General features: G+C 43.8%; 1 protein-coding gene across 8 annotated transcripts in view, besides 6 other annotated features; it reads left to right on the forward strand.

The window, feature by feature from the left end:
* The window catches only part of PRKCH (protein kinase C eta), a 363,509-nt gene that overhangs the window by 284,970 nt on the left and 54,054 nt on the right, over positions 1–24,485 (forward strand). For all 8 annotated transcript variants that reach the window (XM_024449661.2, NM_006255.5, XM_011536957.2 and 5 more), the window contains exon 10: positions 13,065–13,219. In XM_024449661.2, the coding sequence (XP_024305429.1) occupies positions 13,065–13,219 (155 nt within the window). The remainder of the gene's footprint in view (positions 1–13,064; positions 13,220–24,485) is intronic.
* Positions 4,291–4,390: an enhancer, noted in NCBI's record as "active region_8493". NCBI's record gives its function as "activates an Ori minimal core promoter by ATAC-STARR-seq in GM12878 lymphoblastoid cells {active_cell/tissue: GM12878}" and the evidence as "EXISTENCE:reporter gene assay evidence [ECO:0000049][PMID:35858748]".
* Positions 4,501–4,580: an enhancer, noted in NCBI's record as "active region_8494". NCBI's record gives its function as "activates an Ori minimal core promoter by ATAC-STARR-seq in GM12878 lymphoblastoid cells {active_cell/tissue: GM12878}" and the evidence as "EXISTENCE:reporter gene assay evidence [ECO:0000049][PMID:35858748]".
* Positions 5,214–5,273: an enhancer, noted in NCBI's record as "active region_8495". NCBI's record gives its function as "activates an Ori minimal core promoter by ATAC-STARR-seq in GM12878 lymphoblastoid cells {active_cell/tissue: GM12878}" and the evidence as "EXISTENCE:reporter gene assay evidence [ECO:0000049][PMID:35858748]".
* Positions 6,351–6,520: an enhancer, noted in NCBI's record as "experimental_34726 CRE fragment used in MPRA reporter constructs". NCBI's record gives its function as "activates a minimal promoter by MPRAs in K562 erythroleukemia cells, with activity observed for both the introgressed and non-introgressed 14:61945591 or rs75455100 variant alleles {active_cell/tissue: K562}" and the evidence as "EXISTENCE:reporter gene assay evidence [ECO:0000049][PMID:34662402]".
* Position 6,436: a transcriptional cis regulatory region, noted in NCBI's record as "Neanderthal adaptively introgressed variant 14:61945591 (GRCh37/hg19 assembly coordinates) or rs75455100 in the experimental_34726 CRE". NCBI's record gives its function as "modulates activity of the experimental_34726 enhancer by MPRAs in K562 erythroleukemia cells {active_cell/tissue: K562}" and the evidence as "EXISTENCE:reporter gene assay evidence [ECO:0000049][PMID:34662402]".
* Positions 7,118–7,287: an enhancer, noted in NCBI's record as "experimental_34735 CRE fragment used in MPRA reporter constructs". NCBI's record gives its function as "activates a minimal promoter by MPRAs in K562 erythroleukemia cells, with activity observed for both the introgressed and non-introgressed 14:61946358 variant alleles {active_cell/tissue: K562}" and the evidence as "EXISTENCE:reporter gene assay evidence [ECO:0000049][PMID:34662402]".

The following is a 24,485-nucleotide window of genomic DNA, read 5'->3' on the forward strand; positions in this document are numbered from 1 at the left end:
CAGATAATCAGAGTTTTGCAAAATGTTTCCCAACCAGCATGGGAAAACGTGCTGATAGCAATATGATTGGGCTTTGAGGGAGAGCCACTTGCTGGCTTTTTTTCTTTTGTTTCCCATACATGGAAATGCCATTTCAACTTGAAATGTGGATACCTTACCAGAGGATTGCTTGAGCCCGGGAGGTTGAGGCTGCATTAGCGAACTGGGACTGCACCACTGCATTCCAGCCTGGATGACAAAGTGAGACTCCTGTCTCAATTTTTTAAAAACCCACACACAAAAAAAACAACAAAACAAAAAGTAGAACCTTAAATGCTATCTTAAGGCTGAATAGTCTCTAAATATTGAAAGTAGACCCTAGCCAAAAGAGACATTACCTGTTTCTGTAATATAATGAATGGTATTAGTGTACTTATCTTGCATTTTAAATTCAATTCTGTAAATGTTTATGGAGCATGCATTATGTGCCAGGGATGAAGACACAAGAACAAAATGTGGACCTGCCTTTTAATTGCTTACAGTCAAAGGTCATGATAACACCATGTGATGGAGAGAAGAAAGTCATGATTGATCCTCGTGGAGGTTGGAAGGACTTCCCAGAGGAGGGGCTGTGTGAGCTGTGTTTTGAAGATGAATAGGGATCTTATAGTCACAAGAGGAGGGCATAGACTCCCAGACAGAGGTAACAGCAGTGCAAAGGCACAGAGGCTTAAAATTGCAGGATGTGCCCAGGAAACCCCAAATGACTAGATGAGGCAGATTTGTAAGAAGGGAAATGGTGGTGGTTGGCGGCGGGGGTAGGGGGGTGGTGATGAAGAAGCAAAGTCATAATGGGTCTGATGTCCTTTGCTGAGGAGCTTAGACTAAACTGTTTAGGTAAAAGGAGCCAGCAAAATCTTTAAGTGAGGGAGTAACATAAGATTTGCATGTTAGAAGGCTCTCTCTGGCTGCTATGTACAGAGGGAGGCTAATGGCAGCAGATCTGGTGAGGATGCTGGGCCCGTGATCTGGGAACTTGCCTGCCCCAAGGCAGCAATCATGGGAGTGGAGTCAAGGAAACACTAAAGAAGTAGACATGATAGGACTTTTTAAGTGGGAATGGCCAGGGCTCTGGCCATTTGGAAGCCTAAAGAGAATGGAATAGCATGAGTTCGGTTTGGGGGAAATTCAGTGGTAAGATGCTTGTTTGTCAGAAACACACTTGAGATGGGAGATCAGTTTGGTGTCATCCATGTCCTCTTGGTAAGTGGAAACTATAATATAAAATCTTTCAGGCCAGGTGCAGTGGCTCACACCTGTAATCCCAGCACTTTGGGAGGCCAAGGTGAGTGGATCACCTGAGGTCAGGAGTTCGAGACCAGCCTGGCCAACATGGCAAAACCCTGTCTCTACTAAAAATACAAAAATTAGCCGGGCATGGTGGCACGCACCTGTAATCCCAGCTACTCAGGAGGTTGAGGCAGGGAGAATCGCTTGCACCCGGGAGGCAAAGGTTGCAGTGAACCAAGATCACGCCATTGCACTCCAGCCTGGGCAACAGAGCGAGACTCTGTCTTAAAAAAAAAAAAAATCAAAAATCTTTTAGTAGATGTTTATAGAGAGAGAAGAGAGGAGACTTGAAGAAGGAATTCTAAGTAAGGGTTAAGGTTGAGTGGAAAAAAGAAGAAGAATCAGAAGGAAGTGGTTTCATAGTAGGATAAATCAAGTGCTGAGATGAAGTCAGTTCACTAACAGACTCAGAGTTCTATTGGATACGGCATGAGGTTCTTGGTGTCACCATCTTAGGATCTGCTCATTTTTGGGGTTTTAAGAACCTGTCTGAACTCCACTTAGCCAACTGAAGCTTGCCTTCAAAGTTAACACAATGTGCTTTCTCCCATATAAACCTTTTAAGCTGTTTCTGATGACTGTTCCCCTTCCTGTTAGAGCTCCACCTCTTTTAATTTAGCCTCCATACCTTTAGAGTAAGGTCTGCAACTTTCTTCCTTAATTGACAGTGGAGATCAATATGTAACCCAGATTGCAAAAATGGTTTGGGAACACTGCATGTTCTCACTCATAGGTGGGAGTTGAACACATGGACACAGGGTGGGAAACATCACACACTGGGGCCTGGCAGGGGATGGGGGGCTGGGGGAGGGATAGCATTAGGAGAAATACCTAATGTAAATGACGAGTTGATGGGTACAGCAAACCAACATGGCACATATATACCTATGTAACAAACCTGCACGTTGTGCACATGTACCCTAGAACTTAAAGTATAATTTTAAAAAAATTTTTTAATAGTTTGGGAAGAAATTGTGGGCATGTCATTTGCTTGAACAGATTTTGTTCCCCAGCCAGAGGACCAGAGAAGAGTTTGTCATGGCTACAGTGGAGGAATCAAACTCAGAATAGCATGTGAAAGGCACATTCCACACAGAAACTTCGGCCCGTGCATCAGCACTGCAGACAGGGGGAGAGGAAATGAATTCTCAGCCAGTAGATTCCCAGGCATCACCTTGAGGCAGATATGGCATATTCTTGGCCATAGTCTCTACTTCTCTAACTGGGCAAAGTGTCTAATCAACTATAACCCAAAATATCTTCCCACATGGCATAAGTGTCGAATTCATACATAGATCAGAGGGAGAAATGAAATTGTGGTTGTCTTAAAAGTTTACACAGTTTAGGGATCTCCATCATGAAAAATGATCTAAATAAATGAAATGGTATTTTTACTCTTTATCCTACAAGCCCTATACAAACTAAGTCCATAAATATCCTATTTGATGCTTAAACCAAAAGCTTTATAAAGAGAATTTCACTATGTGAAATAATGACTTGAAGAAATCCTATTGTGGATGCTTTTGTTAAGTTGCTAAACCTTTTTTAAAAAGTAGATAATCATCCAAGATATCTTCTTTGTGACTCTTAAGTTTTAGTGTATTTCAAATGTGGATAGTTTTTGACTAGGAGGTTTGTTCAAACGTTCTTCTCGACCACTAGGGGGTGCTCTAAAGGTTAGTGATGTCTAAATGATTGACCAATCAATTAAAACACCGTGCCCAGTTAGCAATCATCTCCACTGAGAGATGCCTGCTTTACCAGGCTAAAAAAATGATCTTTATCATGGCATAGAGACTATAAAAGCTGTGTCCTTTTATTTTCATTAACCTAATTAGAAGTCAAGCTAATTGTAGGACTTCATAGAACTGGCATCGGGAATAGCATGCAACTGTTAAAAAAATCATGGTCTTGATGACTAATTATATCAGGAAATAATATGCAATATAAATGAAAAGAGAAGTGTATGTTTTTTACTTTTTCCTTTCTGTTTTTAAAACATGCTATAAAATGTTAAGTATAATTAGGACACAAAGGAAAAATTAAATCTAGTTAACATTACCTTGAAAACTTCTTATTTGCCCTGAAATCTCCAGTTCTTTGGAAGCTAAAAGCTTGAGACTTCTATATCTGGTTGTCAGGATTAGGGTGATTTTATTTGAATTTTCTTTATTTTCTTCTCAATTTTCTATCTATTTACTTTGTAATTACATTTGAACTATGGATATGTAATTAGTTTTATAAATAGAAAAATCAAAGCTTTATAAAGGAAAATATAGCATCAGCAGACCTGATTGTCCTACTTAACTCTTCCACAAACTGTTTTAACTATGGGCAAGGTACTTCACTTCTTTGCCCTTTGCTTCTGTAAAATGGTTGGGTGAAACGAATCTTGGCAGTTTGTTCCAGCTCTTCTAAAGTTCCATTTTAAATTTTACCAGGAGACAAAAATGGTTCCTATTATGTTCACTCTTGAAGCATTTATTAACCCTCACAATTGGCCAGGCACTGTGCTTGGTGCTATTAAAGATATCTCACTTAGTATCTGGGCTCTGCCTTCAAGGGTTTCCGGTCCCCCATGGAAAAGAAGACCAAGTGCACAGATCCATCCCAGCCCTACACAATGATACTGGAAAGCTGTATGTGGACCAGAAATGCCAAAGGAGGTTCCATCAGGAAGAGGGGACTTGTGCTCTGACTCTGCTGTACCCCTGATCATATGTTACCACTTATTTATGCTTTAAAGAACATCCTGGCCTGGATGTTTCACAGTGTGTTAAACTGCAAGGTAGATTTCCTCTTTGTTTCCCTGGTCTACTGTATATATGCCAGTAAGCCTTGTCAGGTTTCATTATGAGAGATGGCTATAATGCATCCAGATTACTAGGAAAACACTTGGTCTTTGAAAAGAGCTGTGTGTCCCTCTAGGTTTGAAATGCAAAGTCCTAAGGCTTTGTTATATTCAGGACATATTTCACCTTCCCAAAGACTAGTCTCAGCTCAGACAGGATGTATCTTGCCTGTGGGCTTGACACAGGGGTTGCTGGGTGATTGAATTAACCTCTGACATCTTCTGGGCTGTGCAAAATGATAAGTTCAAAAAAAAAATGCAGCCATTAGACTCCTTCTCATTGTTTCTTCCTTGAAGCCTTTGTAATCTTTCTTAATGTGGTTAAATTCAAGTTATTTCCAGTTCAGACATGGTGCAATCAGATTTCCTCATGCGGGTGCTTTTCCACTGTGACCTCTTTGACGTCAGTAACTGTTTCCTGTTTATTTGAACTCCCTGCTCACCCTGTAGATGACTTTGTCTGAGAAAAATAATAAAGCAACGGTACTTAGGAGAAGTTCAACACTGCTATCTGTTACGGAGATTTCCTTCTCCTTTCCCCCAGCCGTCAATAGCACTCTGCAGCTTTTCATACAGCATGAGCTTGTTATTCATGTAGAAATACTCCAAGGCAGTTCTTAGAACTTGGGTAAGTAAGAATAGATGTGGCTCCCAGCTTAACATTGCCTTAAAGCAATAGCTACATTTTTCATAACTTTTACGTGTTATGTCTATCTTTGAATTATTTCCAAAAGGTAATCTGCATCCTCACTATAATTCTGAGTATGGTGGCTATTTCCTACTGCCTTGGTTTCTGGAATGATACATCTTCAAATGCAGTCTTTAAATCATAGAGACAACAGATTTTTTCTTTAAATGGAGACAAATCTTTGCAATCTGGTTCTGAGATTGAATCAACTTTATAGAAAGGAAGAATAACTGCTATAAAAAGTCTCGCTTACAGTAATATGTTTTTAGTACATAAGGAGGGCATTTGTTTTGCAATAATAATTATTATAAAGCCCCTAAAATAGAAAATATGAATTACCAGTCAGTGTTAGAAAACTTATCAGAACTGAAACCTTTGTTAGTATGTTTTGGTTATCAAATCTAGTTTTGTAACCCCTTGCTTAGCAAGCATTTCCCAGAAAGAAAAGTCCTTACCCGGTCAAGGCCATTACCATATAGCATCGGGAAACATCCCTGTGTCCCAACAGCTGGGCTAGGACTCCTTCCACCTCCTTCGACCCTCTATACCCTTGTCCCACACTGAGGGTTGGGGGAGCTGCTGCAGTTGCTGTTTCGGCTGCTGTTTCATTCCTGTCCACTTGTGAGTGTGTGTGTACCTCCGCCAGTCTTGGAGGTCTGTGAAGGAGGCCTCGAGACCCAGTGCATGCAGCTCACTGCCACGTGTGCCACAGCCACAGCCAAGGGGCCTTCCTATGCCTCATGCATCAGGCCCTTTGGAGCCCTGGGAGCAGACGGCCATGGCGGCTGAAGCTGCAGTGGATGCACTCATGATGATGAGGATAATAATAGTTGCTAACATTTCTTGAGCATTTCACTTATGGTATGCCAGACACTATTCAAAGCCCTTAGCTTAAATCATTTAATCCTCACAAACCTGTGAGTTGGGTTGTCTTATTATCCCCATTTTGCAGAAGTGAGTTTTGTGAGAGAGAAGCTAAATACAGCACAGCAGGAGTTGCTCTTGGACCTCAAGCATCCTGGCCCAGAGCCCAGGTGTCGCCACTGCCCTGGGCTTCCTCTTAGTCATACCAGGGACTTGGGCACTGGGCACAAAATCTCCTCTTTATATAATGTAGTGGTACCAATAGCTTCTATTGATTGAGATTCTTTTCTGGGCTTGGCACTGTATGAGGCACTTGGCTTCTGGTTTAATCTTTACATGATCACTGTAGTTATAGATGTTATTATCCCAGATTTATAAATAAATAAGGAAACTTCTTACCCCTTAAAAATGGGTGTGTGTGCCATGCATGGTTGCTCACGCCTGTAATCCCAGCACTTTGGGAGGCCGAGGTAGGATTGCTTGAGCCTAGGAGTTCAAGACCAGCCTGTGCAACACAAAGATACCCAGTCTATACAAAAAATTAGCCAGATGTGGTGGCACAAACCTGTGGTCCCAGCCGCACAGGAGGCTGAGGTTGGAAGGATCACTTAAGCCCAGAAGTTCAGCGCTGCAGTGAGCCATGATCCTGCCACTGCCCTCCAGCCTGGGTGACAGAGCAAGACCCTGTCTCAAAAAGAAAAACAAAAATTGTGTGTATTTTAGCTGAAATTCTCCTGGTAGCAGAAAATTTACTTCAGGTAGTAAGAAAACTTTCTTAAGGCTATGCAAAAAAAAGAACTAAAAATAAAGATTCAGAGGTACAACGGATGTCTCATGCAACCCAAGGGCAGGAGTTGGCCAGCTCTCTCGGCTGATCTGAAACCAGAAAGACATGAGGAACCCTGGCAGTTTTGCTCTTGGCTCACTCACCCTCCCTGATCTCTTGTCTCTGCCTCACTCTATGTTTCTGCTTCATTCTTCTCCTTCACCCACCCACCTGTCCATCCACCCACCCAGTCTTTCTCCACTCTCTTATACCCAGGCATTTCCCACGTTTACACTGCAAAAGCAGTTTCCGTTTCCTAACTCATGTTTCCTCAGTTCCTGCACACAGCCTAGACTAAATTAAAAGCTTTTTACCTCAGTTTCAGTTTTCTGGAAAAGAGACTCTGAGCAGGTGCAGCTTGATCTAACTGGCTGTGCACAGATGCTGAGCGTTTACCCATGCGGCCAGGCTGGAGCATGGGTAAATGCTGAGGAAGGGATCACCATGAGCTGAGCAGATGCCTCCAAAGATGTTTGCCCCAGTGACCTTACAGGATCTTGCCCTGCCTGGTCCATGCTCGCTCTCCAGTCACTTTCCTTAGTTAGTATCATCTTGTCACTGGTACCATCCTGGCATAGCACTTTCATCCACCCGGATGTTATGTCTCTTGTTCATACAAATTGCCCATCAGCTTTAACTCCTATCGAACAGCCCTTAATGAGGGGGCCTTAGGGAATGCACCTTACTTATACTGACAGCCATTATTCGGGGGATATTTTTAGCCCCTTGGGCCTGGGGAAGGAATAGTTCTGAACTGATAGCCAGGGCAGAGAGTGGACCCAGACTGCAGCAGGTCAGTGGCATCAGAGCAAGTGACGACAGGAATTCTATTATCACCAGGCAGCAGCTCCTCTGCCTCCCACACCTGTAACTCACACCAGGTGTGGGACAAAGGGATTTCTGAGTTGCTTTCACTCCCACCGGTGTTCATCACCCCATGTTAATGACTTGTACTTGTGGTTGGCTGAATCAGGGACAAAAGAGAGGAGCAGGGACAAAGGGCTTAGCCACTTGGCTTTAGAAGTGATGTTAAACCGGTCTCCTGGCCTTGAGATTTCCTACCACACAGGTCAGGGCAGACTTCACCTGACAGAAGCCAAAAGCCTCAGGTAAAGCTGTACAGATGTGCAGGCTCAGTTTCTAGGAAAATGGACTTTAGAAAAACCAAAATGGTTCTATGCACAGGTTTAAATACAGAAACAGTCATCTTTGCCATCTCTGTCTAGAGTGGGATTTGGGAAACCCCTCTCTGCCATAGGAGTGACTCACTACAACCATAATCCATCTTCCAGTACTTCCCTAAATGCAGGATTTCCAAAAAATGCTTCACCTAGTTGCTTCACAATTGAATTTGTGAAGCATGATTTGGTGTTTGTTGAGTCATCAGTGATACTAATTCTTAAATAGCACAGACTGAGAGTAGAGCTGTAGGTGAGAGGTTATCTTTTGCCTCCTTTTAGAGCTTCAAATACAGGTCTTTGCTTTGTAAAGGGCATTCACTAAATATGAGAAGTTTTACTCCTTTGGAATTAATTTTGCTGGAGTGATTTGCTTTTGTAGCTGATGTTGTTTTATTCTATGTGGCAAGTTCCAACATTACTGGAGTCTTTTTCAAGCCAAGCACCATAGCTGCACCTGTTTTACCCCAGGCACTGGGCTTATAATTCTAGTAGAGACTGGTAGTGAGTGATCATGTTTATTAATGGCAGCAGAGACCCTGCACTTCTCATTTGTGGGTGACCTGTGAAAGCACCCCTAAGTAGCTTTTTGCTTTTTCTGCATTTCATTTTGAAAACAGCAGTACAGTTACAGCGAAGCCTCACACTCACCCACTCCAGCGCTTGACAACCTGCCTGCCTTCGCAGTCCCTCCCGTCTGCCTGACATCTTACACTTCAACTGCACAGTCTTCCTGACACCTCCCACCTCAGTCCCCACTCCAGCCTGACTTGCATACCCTCATCCTTCTAGGCTGGGGAATTGACTCCTCTCAGAAGCTTCCCCCCAAACCCCACCTGCCAAATTCCACCTCCACCTCCAGGCTGCTCAGATGCCCTGCTCGGTGTCCCCATAACACCTTCTGTACCTCTCCACTGCACTTAACACACTGTGGCGATGTGCTGTGTCTGCATGTCCATGAGCTTACTGAGAGCAGTGTGGAGTCATATTAGTTTTAGGAGACTGGGTCCTTACCCAGGCCCTGGCGTACCACGTGTGTGTTTAGTAAACATTTGTCTTTGTTCAGAACCTTAAAGGAACCAAGAAGATCTCTGCAAGCTGTAGTAGATGTCGTAAAGCCTGCGCACCAGGCTCCAAGTGGAGCTGCTGGGACCTGAACCAGAGCCAGCCGATTTTCACTGTGGATGCCATTCCAACAAGCCTGGTTACCTCAGGCAGCAGAAAGGCCATTATGGGACATGGGTGGTTACTCGTGTCCCTTAATAATGGGCAACAAGGATGCAACAATTTCTTTTTGTAGCTGCTTTCTGACTCCCATTGCCTAAACAAGGGCTCTCTCAAACAGCCTCACAACTGTGTCTTTCCCATGTCTTATCTTCCATCTTTCAGATGAAAATAAGAAAAACATGGAGGAAGCACATGTGACTTTAGTTTGCTTCTAATTGCAAGAGTAATACACACTCATCATAGAAACTTTGAAAGATACTGAAAGGTAGAAAAAAGAAATGTCACCCCGATCCCACAACAAAAAACTGACTTCTGTCACTCTATAGCCATCTTTTTTATCCTTTCTATGCATCTGTCTGCATTTTTGGCTATAACTAAAATCATCCTGCACATTCACGTTTGTGATCTTTTTTTAAATTGAAAATACCTACATGAGAGCACAAGCATTGGCAGCTTCAGCAGCAGCTATCACTTACTGCACACTTGCCCGAAGGGACCTGAGGACATACTTAATACAATTTTACTTCTGATGATGACTCCTCACCCCACCACCCACCACCTGATGATGTGTGGGTCTTCTTTCCTTTTCCTTTTTTTTTTTTTTTTTTTTTTTGAGACAGAGTCCCCCTCTGTCTCCCAGGCTGGAGTGCATGGCGCGATCTTGGCTCACTGCAACCTCTGCATCCCGGGTTCAAGTGATTCTCCTGCCTCAGCCTCCCAAGTAGCTGGAATTAGAGGTGCATGCCACCATGCCCAGCTAATTTTCTTGTACTTTTAGTAGAGACGGGGTTTCACCACGTTGCCCAGGCTGGTTTTGAACTTCTGACCTCGAGTGATCTGCCCGCCTCAGCCTCCCAAAGTGCTGGGATGACAGGCATGAGCCACCACGCCTGGCCTGGATCTTCTTTTCTAAACACTAGAGATTTTTTGTCGTTTATCTCCTTCTCTTCAAAAGTAATCTTGGAGAAATTGCTGCCAAATCTTTGCCTCTCTGCAGCAAACATTTTAAAATGGGGTGAACAGAAGTGCAGGTCAACAGAGGGTTTCCTCACAGCAAAAACATTTTGCTTGTTGATAAACATGTCTTTGTTTTTTATACCTGGTGACGTTATTTGAGGTCTTTGATAGGATGGACCAGTACTCTGCATTAAGTCGTCGTCGTGTCTCAGCTGGCCTGTGTCTCCTGCCTGCTTCAAGAGTTGCTCATAACCTGAGGGCTGTGAATTACACTCTGTGTTCCAGGTGGTGCCAGACAGGAGGTTAGAAATGAGACTCTGAATGAAAAGAAACAGGTACAGCAGAACCCATCTTTCTGGAATTCTAAAGCTTATGGTCCCTCACTGTGTAGCAGAGGTGAATCTGCCAGAGTCTGGCATTATCTGAGAATCTGCCTCCAGGGCTGTAGATGGGGCTGGGCTAAAGCAAGACTAGAGGGCAGGATTTTCTCCCCCCAGATCTGGAATTTAGCCCACAGTCTGGCTTTTAGATTTTAGGCTTTCGATGCCTACTGCCTTAAAACTCTTGCCAAGTGCGCCACTTATAGCAGCCTAAGGAATGGCCACTTCCCCACTGACCCAGTTCCAGTAGCCAGGTGTTCAGAGCAATTGGAATTCATGTGACTGCCAGTCAGATCCACGAGGAAGATGAACAGGCTGGTTAACGAAAACATGTAAGACTGACCTCCTTGCCCAGAGATGATTCAGGGTGGCTTTTTGTCTTAGTCTTCCTCAGGCCATCAGTGGCCATCCCTCCAAATGGACAGATACAGCATTGGCATAAAACCTTACTATGCAGATGCAGCTTTTTGGGATGTTTCCGGTGTGTGTATATCCTCCGCCCAACCTGTTGCTAACCTGCTAATTCTACCTTAATCCTTCCCATTTAGAAAATACAGGACAGCCATTGCTCATCAAAGCTTGTCCCACCCAATTCTGCCTCTCCCCTTGTCAGTCACCCTCAAATGAAGGCCAGGAGCTTAGGCAGATGGCTTGCTGTATTTACATAGTTTGCCTGTTGGCTTACATTGGCCAACCCGAAGAGTTGTTTTGGTGGTGGTGGTTTTTGTTTTGTGAATCTTGCCATTCCTTCTTCACTATTAAATTCTTGCTTCGCTTTTAGCAGAAAGAAGTGTTTAATAAATTCAGGGGATTTTTTTTTCTTCTAATTAAGGCGTTAGTTAAAATAGGGCATAGGAGGTCATAAGCCGTGCTTCCTTCTGATAGGGGTCTGCGTGGTTACACCAGGCTTGCAATGGGAGCTGAGCAGGAGCACGCACCCTGCTCTGCCCATTGTTCAGCTGTGAATGTGTGGAAACACCCTGTGCAAAGCCGGTGGCACTTACAACCACAAATAAAGATAGGTTCAAGGCTGGGTGTGGTAGCTCATGCCTGTAATCCCAGCACTTTGGGAGGTTGAGGTGGGAGTATTGCTTGAGCTCAGGACTCGAGACCAGCCTGGGCAATATAATGAGACCCCATCTCTACTAAAAATCAAAGCCGGGTGTGGTGGCGCACGCCTGTAGTCCCAACTACTCCAGAGGCTGAGGTAGGAGGATTGCTTGAGCCCTGGAGGTCAAGGCTGCAGTGAGCCAAGATCGTGCCACTGCACTTCAGCTTGGGTGACAGAATGAGACCCTGTCTCACCCAAAAATAATGATAGGTTCTGTGTATCTGCATCCGTTGGTAAAATACCACTTTCCTCGCAAAATAATCTGCAATCCCACAAAATGGTATCACGGGGTCCCAAGTCGATGGCACTCATCCTGTGGGCCTTAGCTCATGTTTCCCTTGCTCAGAGACGTCGCCTGACCCCCAGGCAGGTGACCAGATATCACGCTTCCTCTGCTTTTCCTTCACAGGATTTACCAGAATTTGTCAATCTGCTTGTGTCACTTTTTTTTTTTTTTTTTTTTTTGAGTAATGTGTTTCTCACACCAAACTCTGTATGGGGAGAGGCTGTGTCTGCTCTACTCTCTATGGGATCCCGGCTCCGAACTCAGCACCAGCTAATCAGGAATTTCATAAATGTCACAGGAAGGAGTGAGGAAACCCATTTATCTTAGAGGTGCTTGAAGCAAAACGTTTTACACTTAGATAAATCTTGGATCACTTTTTAAATGAGACCTACACGTTTCTTTCATGAAGCAGTCATGATTTCCATAGCACTTTATTCACACTACTTGCATAGTATTTAGTACACTGCATAGTGACTTTTAAGAGTCCACTTTTACCTGCTAGGTTGAGAGTCACTTAAGGGGGAGATGGCATCTCGCTCATTTCTACATTCCGACTCTTGACTCAATCTTTTGAAGGACTGAGTGGTATTTCCAATGTGGATGCTACTGTGAGGCTGTCATTTGGCTTCCTTTTTTTTTTTTTTTTTTTGGAAGAAGGAGTCTTACTCCTGTCGCTCAGGTGGGAGTGCCGTGGCACAATCACAGCTCATTGCAGCCTTTACTTCCCGGGCTCAGGTGATCCTCCTGCCTAATTTTTTTTTTATTTTTTTGTATAGACAACCTCTTGCTATATTGCCCAGGCTGGTCTTGAACCCCTGGGCTCAAGGGATCCACCCACATAGGCCTCCCAAATTGGTAGGATTACAGGCATGAGCCACTGCACCCGGCCTCCACTTCTGTTTGGCTGACTTGTCTAAAGGGGTGTTCTTTTTCTGTGATTGTTCTCTGCCCATTTGTGAGAACTAGAGCACCTGCTAGGTGTCCTTTACTTTGGGTAATTAACCCCACATGTTCCAGATTAAAGGCATTTACCTTTCGATTTACATTCTCTCTCCAGGTACATGACCTTTAAGGTACAGAGCTGGAACTCGAGTCAAAGGTTTCTGATGCCTTCTGTACTTTTGATTTCATGTAGCAATTCAAGGCTGTGTGAAATGAACTACAGGAGATCCAGGTGCTGCTCTGCCCAGGGGATCTAATCCCACCAGACCGGTTGCACTGCACCCTGACCCATGGTCAGGATGTTTCCTGGAATACATCCACTTGACAGTGTCCTCTCTATGCCACAGCCTTAGGCAATATGCTGCTGATGGAGCTCTAGGTTAATTGCTACACCACATTGGGCCCTCTCTTGTGTTTGTATCCAGGATCGTCTGTTTTTTGTGATGGAGTTTGTGAATGGGGGTGACTTGATGTTCCACATTCAGAAGTCTCGTCGTTTTGATGAAGCACGAGCTCGCTTCTATGCTGCAGAAATCATTTCGGCTCTCATGTTCCTCCATGATAAAGGAATCATCTATAGGTGAGTTTTGGTTGCTGCCCTGTCTTCTAATTCACTGCCTCTTCCCTCTCCTGGTATGATCCATCCTTCCACTTCTCATGATAATCAGTTGAAACCTTTTTTGGAATTAAATTCACAGAAGTTTTGTTTTGGTTTTTGTTTTTGAGACAGGGTCTCACTCCATAGCCCGGGCTGGAGTGCAGTGGCGCAATCATGGCTCACTGCAGCCGGTCCATCTGGACCTCCCAAGTAGATAGCTGGGACTACAGGCACGCACCACTACACATGGCTAATTTTTATTTTTTATTTTTTGTAGAGACAGGGGTCTTGCAATGTTGCCCAGGCTTCACAAAGGTTCCAAGGATCCATTAGGATAAATTAATAACAGTAATAAACACTGCCTGCAATCTAAAATTTGCCTCACTTTGTATTCATAAAATAGGCCCGACAGTCTCAGAAGAGACTGTTTATTCATGAATTGGTTCAGCCCCAGTTTGCTAAGGACCTGTCATAGCCAAGACCTGCAGGGTGCTAAACACACTGTTGTTCTCTTTTTTTCATTTTAACATTTGAAGTGAATCCCTTAACCATGATTCTATTCCATTTTAAGAATCTACACCTTAACTAAAGGGTGTGGCTAACCTGCTCTAAGTTACAAGAATTACAGTCATGTGGAGCATGGCTCACCAGTCAGGAGCTAGGTGAGCCACTTGTGAGCAGTGTCCTGCATGATAATATCTTCCGTGTGTAGCCCCCTCCCAAATATTTGATTCTCCATTTTGTGACACACAATCTTTTGATCATAATATACCATACTTTGAATGGACTCCGAATCTGCTTGATGTTGTTAAGTCTCAGAATTCAACAGATATCAAATGTAACTTTAGTCAGAGAGAAGGTTGGAGACAGTGAGAAGTGTAATAGTGAATGTTAGATAATTTTTATTCTCACATTTTCCTGTTTTTTTTTCTGCTGTTAGTGTCCTCACCTAATTGCACATATGCTCTTTTTTCTTTTTTATTGTTTTATTTCTTTTCTTTCTTTCTTTCTTTTTTTTTTTTTAAGACAGTGTCTTGCTATTTTGGCTAGGTCGGTCTTGAACTCCTGGCCTCAAGCAATCCTCCCACCTTGGCCTCCTAAAGTGCTAGGATTACAGGCATGAGTCACCACACCCAGCTCACATAAACTCTTTTTCTCTTGAGATGCAATTGTTGCTTTCCTTAGAGAAAAATTTTCGTATATTAGGGGCATGAATGCCAAAGTAAAGGATTTCCTGATTGAAATTTGCTATTTATTAACCTTGTTAAATGCAGTTCCTATCATAAACTCATGACAGTATTGACATCATTATTAAATTATAAGAGCTTTAAAAACAGTGAATATTCTTAAATACCGTGGGAGTCAAAATAGGAAGAGAACAAGTAGTAACTCTCTTAGAGAGAGTGCAGTAAGACTGGTGGGTGGTGCTGGAGATAAGTGGGAACGCAAGCACTGCATAGCAGGTGTGGCAGGTACCACAGAGACACTTCTCTAATTCATTCTCAGTGCAGATCCCCTAGACCTCAACTCCATACAGTGCATTTATCACAGCCTCACGGCACTGTGCAGGAGGGAAGAGGGTGCAGAACTGGGAACCAGCCTGGATAAGGACAGTGGGAGCCACCTGTTTGAAAGCAGTCTAGGATCTCTGCTCGTTCTTAGGTCACGGGGCTGCAGCAGGTTGATTAGGCAGCTTGTTTTGAGCTTTCTTGACCAGGCTGTGGGGATTAGATCACAGCATTTTTTTCCCACTCTCCACTTTCTTTCCAGTGTATGCTTTGTGGAGGTTGCTGGTATGATCTCTGATGGTGAAGGGAGTTAAGCGTCGTCCTCATGCTATCAGACTCCAGGCAGTAAATTCCATTTTTGTTCTCCTCTCCGCGGCTAATCCAGCCATCTCCACTCCGCTTGCCCCGAAGAGAGACGTTTCCACATGTAGTTTTAAAAACTACATGTAAGTAATGACTCCCCTACTTGACAGGGACTTCTGCTGCAGATCAAAATAATATTAACAACAAGACCTAACTGAACACTTGGACTGGGTGTGGTGACTCACACCTCTAATCCCAGCACCTCGGAAGGCTGAGCGGGGAGGATCGCTTGAGCCTGGAAGTTTGAGGCCAGCCGGGGCAACATAAGGAGACCCCTATCTCTACAAAAAAAAAAAAACATATACATATATGTTAAAAAATTAGCCAGCCGGGCGCGGTGGCTCACGCCTGTAATCCCAGCACTCTGGGAGGCCGAGGCGGGCGGATCACGAGGTCAGGAGATCGAGACCATCCTGGCTAACACCCTGAAACCCTGTCTCTACTAAAAATACAAAAAATTAGCCGGGCAAGGTGGCGGGTGCCTGTAGTCCCAGCTACTCGGGAGGCTGAGGCAGAAGAATAGTGTGAACCGCAGGGGGCGGAGCCTGCAGTGAGCCGAGATCGCGCCACCGCACTCCAGCCTGGGCGACAGCGAGACTCCGTCTCAAAAAAAAAAAAAAGAAAAAAATTCGGCAGGCATGGTGGCATGCACCTGTGGTCCTAGCTACTTGGGAGGCTGAGGTGGGAGAATTGCTTGAGCCCAGGAGATTGAGGCTGCAGTGAGCTGTAACTGTGCCACTGTATTCCAGCCTGGGTGACAGAGCAAGACCCTGAGTGTCAATCAATCAATAAATCAATAAAACGAGCACTTGTTACAGGACCAGCACTTCCCTTGCATTCGTCTATTGATTCTTCTAACAATATTATTGTATAACAATAATAGTGTCCACACTGTTCCGATGAATAATTAGGTCTTCCAAAGACTTCATCACCAGACTGCTAACTGGTAGTGAAGTCAGAATTCAAACCATGGTTCTAACCACTGGGCTACACTGTCTTCTCAGGAGAGACTTGAGGATTTAGAGTACCATTACAGTGTCAGCTTCTTAGTCCTTTTTGGTGATAGGACCACTTCAATTCCTGAAAATAAGGTAGAGTGGGCAAAAGCAATTCAGTCTTATCTCAAGCTTTCTTGAATCCTCAGAGGCTTTGAGTTGGGCCGAGCAGCAAGCTTCCTTTCCTTCATTGGATATTACCGCCCCTCAGTCTACTTGTCTCATTTGTCTCAAAATATGGTGGGTAGACACTGTAACTTGATGTGGTTTCTGATGAAGCAGTGCCAGCCCCCATCTTGACAAATTTTATTTCAATTCATGGTGTCTGTGGTTCAGTTCTGAGAATTGATTTTAATTTACTCTTGGACTTGAATCCCATGTTCAGGCTCTAACTGATATGGTTGACTTTGAAGGGAACACAGTTAATTAGGATAGATTCAAATGCTATTTTTATCCCTTGGATTTATTTCACAGGATAATTTAATTCCATTCAGTATACAGGCTGGGAACAGAGTCTTAAGGATAAGACTTTGAAAGCCAAGTCCTTGGAATTCACACACAGTAAAGGGCACATTTGGGTCACAGAGGGTGTGGTTTTGATACAAGAGCCCAGTGAGAAACTTGGGAGTATCAGGCAGCCTCTTTTATCATACATGTCCCAGAACGCCCTTTATCAGAGCTAAAATAATCCCCCAGAAGATGCCTCTGACCTATCCAAACAGAGCTGTTGTTTGTCTGTTTGGATTCTTTGAGGGAGGGGAGGGAGAGAGGTGTTTATTTTCCAGCAGGTTACAAAGATGATACCATATGCAAGTCACTGTTAAAGAAAGCTTCAGAAGGTAGTACCTTAGGCTCCTCTGACACAAATTTCTTCTTTAGCTGCCTGTGCCTGTGCAAGAGGACATGGGCCAGTTACGTTTGCACGCATTCCGTCTTGTGTTCTGACCCTGATTCTCAGATGTATTCACTTGTATTTTGTGGAGGAACAGAAGCCCAGTTCCTAGGAGACTCAGCAAGGGAAGGGCCTGCCTCTCTGCCTTTGGTTGGAGGGTCTGGAACCTGCCATGGCCCAGAAACCAAGAAGAGTAGGCTGGGAAGGAGGCAGTCATCAAGTCAGTTCTCCCAAGGGGAAAAAAAGAAGACTATTCATTCTTTTGTCCTGGGCTTCTTGGCCGATTGGAAGGCCAGACAGTGCTCATGAATAATTTACTCATGGTGTTGACTTTTTTCCGGAGTCAAGCCCTACAGAAAAGTAAGGGAAACAAAGGGGCATGCATCCCATTGACCAGACATCTTTCAGCATGTTTCATCAACTGTATTAAAGGGAAACTCAGCTGTCATTGACATTTCAACCCCAAACTCCTGAAGCCAGCCAGCACACATTTGATTGGCTGTTTTTGACAAAGTGTGGAATACTGTATCTGAAATATGTTGGGTGAGGAATAGTTTATAGAAGGGCACAGTTTAAATTTCACTTCCTCCTCACCATGTTACCCCTGGGCACACAGCACTTTCCAACACATGCTTTTCGACTCATGAGTCTGACTGCTTTGTGCCTTATGCAGCTGTTGGCATGCTGGGTGCACGGTAATTAGTGTTTACCCTGAAAGCTCCAAATGCTTCCCGTGGTATTTCGCCATCCCATTTTGCAGATGTGGCCCACAGAGGAAGCTTTTGCCCCACAGAGGCTCACTGCCAACTCTGACATGCCGCCTTTTACTCCCATGATTACGTGGCACATGAACTTTTCAACTTTGAGCTGCTGATTTCTCCTCAGATTGAGAGAAAAATGTCTACTTAATTTGACTCTTTTAAAAATTCAGAATTTGGGAAGAGTAGCAATCTCACTCGCAAGATTAAGCCCTGTTAAGCTAGTCTCTGAACATAGTTGGGGGATCTGTGTGAATATACCGATCACCAACATCATCTAGCTCTTGTTTCTCAAGAATCATGAGGGTCCACAGGTGCCTCGCTGACTCCAGATAACTCAGCTGGGCATAGCCTTGCTTGGCAAGTGGTCTCCTCTGTGAGCACCACTTCCTGGTCTAAGAATTCACAAGTGATCCGTTTCCAAATGAATTTGTGTGTTGGGGCCAGGCACAGTGGCCTATGCCTGTAATCCCAGCATTTTGTGAGGCCAAGGTGGGCAGATCTGTTGAGTCTAGGGGTTCAAGACCAGCGTAGGCAACATAAGGAGACCCTGTCTCTATAAAAAATACAAAAATTAGGTGGGCATGGTGTAGTGCACACCTGTGTAGTCCCAGCTACTCGGGAGGCTGAGATGGGAGGATCACTTGAGCACGGGAGGTGTAGGTTGCAGTGAGCCAAAATTGCACCACTGTACTCCAACCTGGGTGACAGAGTGAGACCCTGTCTCAAAAAAACAAAAACAAACAAAAAAAAATGGTGTCTTGGGCCAGTGATGGATTTTACATGCCTGAGTTACTGTGCACTCTCTCTCTCTCCCTGCAGTTCTTCCCCTCTGGAAAACTGTGGCAATCTCTCTCTGATTCCCACCTCCTAGGACCTCTCTTACTCCTCAGTATTTCTTATCAGCAGACTTTGAGTCCCCAGATGTCTTTCATTTGAGCCTGGAGTTTTGGGCTCTTACTGTCACCTCACCTCTATTGGAATTCAGTTCTGTATTTATATTCATTCTACTCATTCTAGTGAGGAAAATCTTTTTAGATAAAGATGAAAGTAAAATTTAACAGCTCTCTTTTCCCTTTGTCATCTGCTGGCATTATTCCTTCTGCTGCAAGAAGTAGGTCTCTTCTCTCTTGATTTGCGTACTGCAGAGACTACTACAAATTGTCATTTGTTGTTTGTATAGTCCTTGTTTATTCAGTACATGCCAGCCATGGGAATGCTCAGTATATTAGTAACTTTCACATCAGACTTTGGCTGTGAGCCCTCACCTGGGACTGATACTGGCTCTTTGAGCTTTTTAGTCATGTGCTTGTCTCTTCTCTTACTTAGCTTGTCATGCCTTGCTGTGCCATGGTGGCCTCATTCAGTGACTGCTCTTCAACTCTCACCAGAAAGTGACCACCATTCCTGACTTCCAAGATCCTTCTTCAAGGATATGATGGAGAGCTCAGAGCTTTCCAGCTTCTTAGAGTAGCTCAGCATTTCCCTCAAATGGGGTCTTCCCTTTTCCCGTAGTGAAACTCATCAGCCACTGTTCTGCACCCTTGCATGGCCTCTGGAGATCTTTTAACAAGTATTTGTTGAGCGTCACCCTTCTGCCAAGGATATGGATGTAATGGTATGAGCAAAAACAAAAATACTCGCCAGTGGAGGGTATGATCCAGTGAGGGAGAAAGATGTCAATCAAATGATTATACCAATAAAAAGTAGCAACCATGACTAGTGCTATGAAGAGGAGAAATACAATGCAGTGAATGAGAACCTAGAATAGGGTGATTCTATCCAGTTAGGGAAAGATGGAAGATTTTTATAAGGAAGTGACTCTTGGGCTGAGGTCACGGTAAAGAGGGAAGGAAGGAACATTTGAGACAGAAGAAACAGCAAACGCAGATAGATGCCCAGTAACAGGAAGGAGTGTGGCAAGGTCAGGGGTTTTTAGAGCAGGCCAGCCTGGCTGGAGTCTAGGAAGCGTATCTTACTTCACTTGGCATTTTATTATCCTACAGTGTTCAGTCAGCTGATGACTTCAAGATTTTATTAAACACTCCTTGTAAATAATTTATTTGAAGGTTAGGTAAGGCCGGTCATGTTGCCAATCCCTGGAGGAGCCATCTATTCACAGTGAGTTCTCTGTGTCCAGGTCTGTGCATTTATACTCAACAATGGGTTTATAAAATATTAGAGCCAGAGGAGACCTCAAACGTTGCTAAGGGCCAAGTTATCTTTTACAGATGAGGGACTTCAGGTGTGAAACGTCCAAAAATTGTTTCTCATAGTGGATATTCTCTTCGGATGACTCATCTGCTGTTTGCTTTCCATCTCCAGGAAAACAAAAATATGGCTAGAAAATTTTGTTTCAGTCTTCAACTTACAGCTGGCATGAAGAGCAAACCAAGACATTTTGAGGCATTCAACCCTGTTTACTCCATTGCAGTGAGAAAAATCCAGTTGAGATCAGAACATATTTCCTGAGCTGCCACCTAGTGCCGGATGTTGCATTAGGAGGTGTAGATACAAGATGAGTAGATGAGATGTCTGCCCTTTGAGGCGCTTTCTGTGGGGTGAGAGAGATAGCCATTAATAAGTCATGGCAGCTGGGTTCCAAAATTGGAGTTTTCCCAGGGTATCTTGGGAGCAGACAGAATGGCCACTTGCCCTAAGATGGATGTTCAGGCAAACTTCCTGGAGGAGGTGATGCCTGAGCTGAGTGTGAAGAGTTAAAAGCTGAACAAAGATAAGGAGGGTGTTTAGGTAGGGGAGCAAGTTTGAGCAAAGCAGAGAAGTGTGGTGAATGTGTAGTTAAAGTGGAAAATGACAGGAACTTTGGTAGCACTGGAGCCTGAAGTTGGAGGCATGGGAAGAGGGAAGGCTAGAGGAGGCTGCAGAAATGAAGTATTAAGCACTTACTGTTCTTGAGATGTTTGAATTCTGGGTCACTTAGGACTTTGCTCCATTGCCTATCACAGGAAACATAAAAATGACAGTGGCTTAAGCCAGATGGAAACATAGTGCTCTCTCACATGAAAAGCCTGGAGGTAGGTAGTCCAGCCCCGCCATGGAAGCTCCGTGGAGTCATTTGCAACCCAGATTTCTGTGCTTTCTGTTCTGCTGTAGACAGGGTCACGTCCTTGTCTAAATGGTTGCTGAAGATCTAGGAATCATCTCTCTATTCCAATTCCATGTAGTAAGAAGGGCTAGAGGGCATTCCTCCAAACTGAGTCAGCTCCCTTTAAGGGGCCTCCTGGAATTCCACACAGTACTTACCATGGAATTGGCCAGAACTTGATCATATGGCTGAGTCTAGCTCCAGTGAAAGCCAAGAAATACAGTATTACAAGTGGCCATGTTCCAGCTAAAAATCAGCATTCCATTATTAAGAAGGGAAAGAATCATTATTTGATAGAAAACTTGCAGTGTCAGACACAAATTCCATGCCAGGGAGTCTGGGCTTTATGGAGCAGGTAACCTTTGAAGAATTCTCAGCAGGTCTTATGACATGAGTGGATTTATATTTTACTTTTACGTGCGGGTGGGGGGCATGGCATGTGTGGACATACCCATGGTAAGCAGCAGCCAGGTTGCAAGGGAGAGGTTCATTTTGAGGCAGTTGCAGAGTTCCAAGTAACAAGATAATGAGGACCTGAACTAAGACAGTGATGGTAGGGCTGATGAGAAAGGCATAAGAGATAATAGCAAGTAAAGCTGATAGGACTTAGTATTTGGGTGGATTCAGGGTAAAAAAGAAACCGGAAATCATTTCCAGGTGTTTAGCTAGAAGGTTGAGTGGATGGCAGTGCCATTAGCTAGGAGAGATCATGTGCCTAGGAAGAAGTCTAGGCAAAAGAGGAAGAAGTTTTAGAAAGGTTGTATGACAGGTGCCTGAGGTATACTCCAGTGGAGATGCTCCATGGATAGGGGCATAGGAGTCTGAAGCTCAGTAAAGAGGATGGGCTGAATTAAATATTTGGAAGTCATCAGGACATAGCTATTAGTTGAGACCACGAGACTGAATGAGATCACCCAATAGGAGTCTCTTAAATGGAACAGTGTGAGTCAAGGACAGAACCCTGGGGAACCAGACTCCATTAGAAATCTGCCTAAATTTGGCTCCAGGGTTATAGAAACAATTGGTATGTTCATCATTTAGAGTAAGTATCCCCAAAGTGCCAGTGTATTAAAAATATAATTCCATAAAAGTATAGAAAAAGATCACTTACTTTAGAGTATGTGTGTGACGCTACATATATTCTTCCTACTGAAAGAATGCTGGACATGGTTTTCAGAAGCCCTGCATGCTAGACCCAGCCCTGGTCCTGGGGATGTGGGCAGGTTGCTGAATGCCCCTAGCCCTTTGGCCCATCTGTACAGTGGAGGTGCCATTGACACAGCTTCCCAGCAGGGTCCTTGTAAAACTCAAATCAGATGGAAGTGGAAATGCGAATGCTTTTTGGAACATGCCGTGTCAATATAAGAGGTTATCTTTGCATATGTGCTGTCACCTGATTTGGGTTTTCTTGGTATCCATAGGCATAGGCAGCAATTATTCTCAAGACACTGCCTGAATAACAGGTAATTCTTCATAGAAATTGGAGTTTTAGCTTGTAAAAATCAACCTTCTGAAGACCAGTCTCTATAGTAAACTCTGGTCATGCTTTTCTTTGAAACCAAATCATTTTCTCTGTATTTTCACAATATTTTGGAATTGCAAGTGATTGATATACTTACCATGAACTTACCATAAACCCTTGAGATAATTTTCTTAGGAAGTCCTAGGGCATATGTGACAGGTTGTACAACCTGAAGACTATACTCTGGCATTTTGCTTCAATTTCAACAGTTTCTAATGTTTAGGGGAAGCAGTTGACCTCATTTTGAGTTTACGCCTTCTGGTATTAAAGCAGATGTTTGATGGTTAATTTGAGAGGAGATTCAAGAACCTTTTCAGACCATTAGTGGAGTGAACATCCTGAGGGTGTAATCCCAGTAATGCAGTTTCTCAAAGGACCTAACTTTATAACAGATAGACATTTAAGTCCTGGGACACCTTGATCATTTTTCTGTACTTCATATATTAAACCAGAATGCTGATCCTGGCATACCTCCTCAGGGTTTGGCCTTTTCATCAGTGAAGGCTGTGACTATTTGGAACTAATTGATAAATGTGTTAGTGGCTTTCACCAGCTAATGAAACCAGGCCACCAGTTTTGCTCTTCTTCCCACCAAATTGACCAAGCAACCAATTGCTTCATTATAATTACAGAGAATCTTGGATTTATTTGCTGAACAAGAAAAATACAGTCATTTAATCTTTATGTATTAAATGAACACAACCATTTGTAAAAAGTAATTGAATTGTACAGTTCAACAAATGTTTATGAAAAGTCTACCCAATGCAAACCTTTGTCAGGCTCTTAGGGAGTAAAAGAAGAATAAAGACAGGTCCTGCCCTCGAGCTTGGGGTGTTTGTTCTTTCCGTTAACAAATAATTTTTTTGTTGTTGGGCACTCACTGTGTACCAGACGCTACTGTGAGCTCTGGAAAAATACAGGAAATAAAACAGACAAAACCCCCTCCTCTCAGGGAGCTTAACTTCTAGCACAAGTAGTAGGACAAAATATAGAAAGAACACAAAAGTAGGACAAAAGACAAAAATATATTGAATGTTAGGGTGATTCAGTATATGGATAAAAAACTTGGTAGGAGCAATATAAAATTCAGTAACAAAGATTTACTGTTTGACACAGAGATTTTTAAAAGCTTCTCTGATAAGGGACATTTGAGCAGATGAACAAAGACCTAAGGATGGGAGGAGGCAGCTCCATGTGAATATCTGGGAGAAGAGTGTTCTAGGCCAAGTCCTTGGAGGGAGAGTGCGCAGTGGGATCAAGGAGCAGCAGAGGGACCAGTGGGCTGGAGCAGATGAATTCGGGCGTCATGGGCGTCGAGGGCCCAAGCCTTTTTGTTTTCTTTCTGCAATACAGAATGCTAACCACATGTGTTGAGCATTTGTCCTGTAAGGATAAACTCCTCTGTTTAATTGTATCTTCTGTATGACAGTTGCACAAGGTAAGTGGCATTATCCTTATTTTGCAGACAAAGGTCAGTGACATTATCCTATATTTGAGGCTCTGGGAAGTGAAAGGACTTGTTCAAGGTCACACAGTATGTGGTGGAATCTACAATTCCACTCCATGATATCCTTTTGAATCCATGCAGGTGCTGAGTTCCCTCACCCATCAGGCCTTTCCACACGTTTCCCCCTGCTTAGAATGCTCCCCCATCTCTTTGCCAAGCTTCCAGCTACCAATTCTTGCAGTCTCATCTTAGTCATCACCTCCTCTGATAAGCCTTTCCTGGACTCCCCTACCCTCCAGATTCCATCTAGGTTAGGTGCCCCCTCTGTTCCCATGGCATCCCGTGAAACCCTTCCCTTAGTGCTTTCCATAGGCTGTGCCCCTGTGCATATGGGTTCATGAAGGCAGGGACTGTGGCTGTCCAAGCCCAGCCCCTAGGACAATGACAGGAGAGTTAGGTGTTCTTAGGTGTTCATGGAATTGACCAAGGCCTCAAATTCTACGCTTTTTTTATTTTAAGATGACAGGTCAGGGCTGAGAATATATTATGATTGCTACCATTTATTGAGCATCTACTACGAGCCAGGCTCTATTCTGAGCTCTCTGCATTAACTCACCTACTCCTCATGACAGCGCTATGATATGACACTCAGCTTGG

This window comes from Homo sapiens, chromosome 14 (genome assembly GCF_000001405.40).
Source record: "Homo sapiens chromosome 14, GRCh38.p14 Primary Assembly".
NCBI lineage: Eukaryota > Metazoa > Chordata > Mammalia > Primates > Hominidae > Homo > Homo sapiens.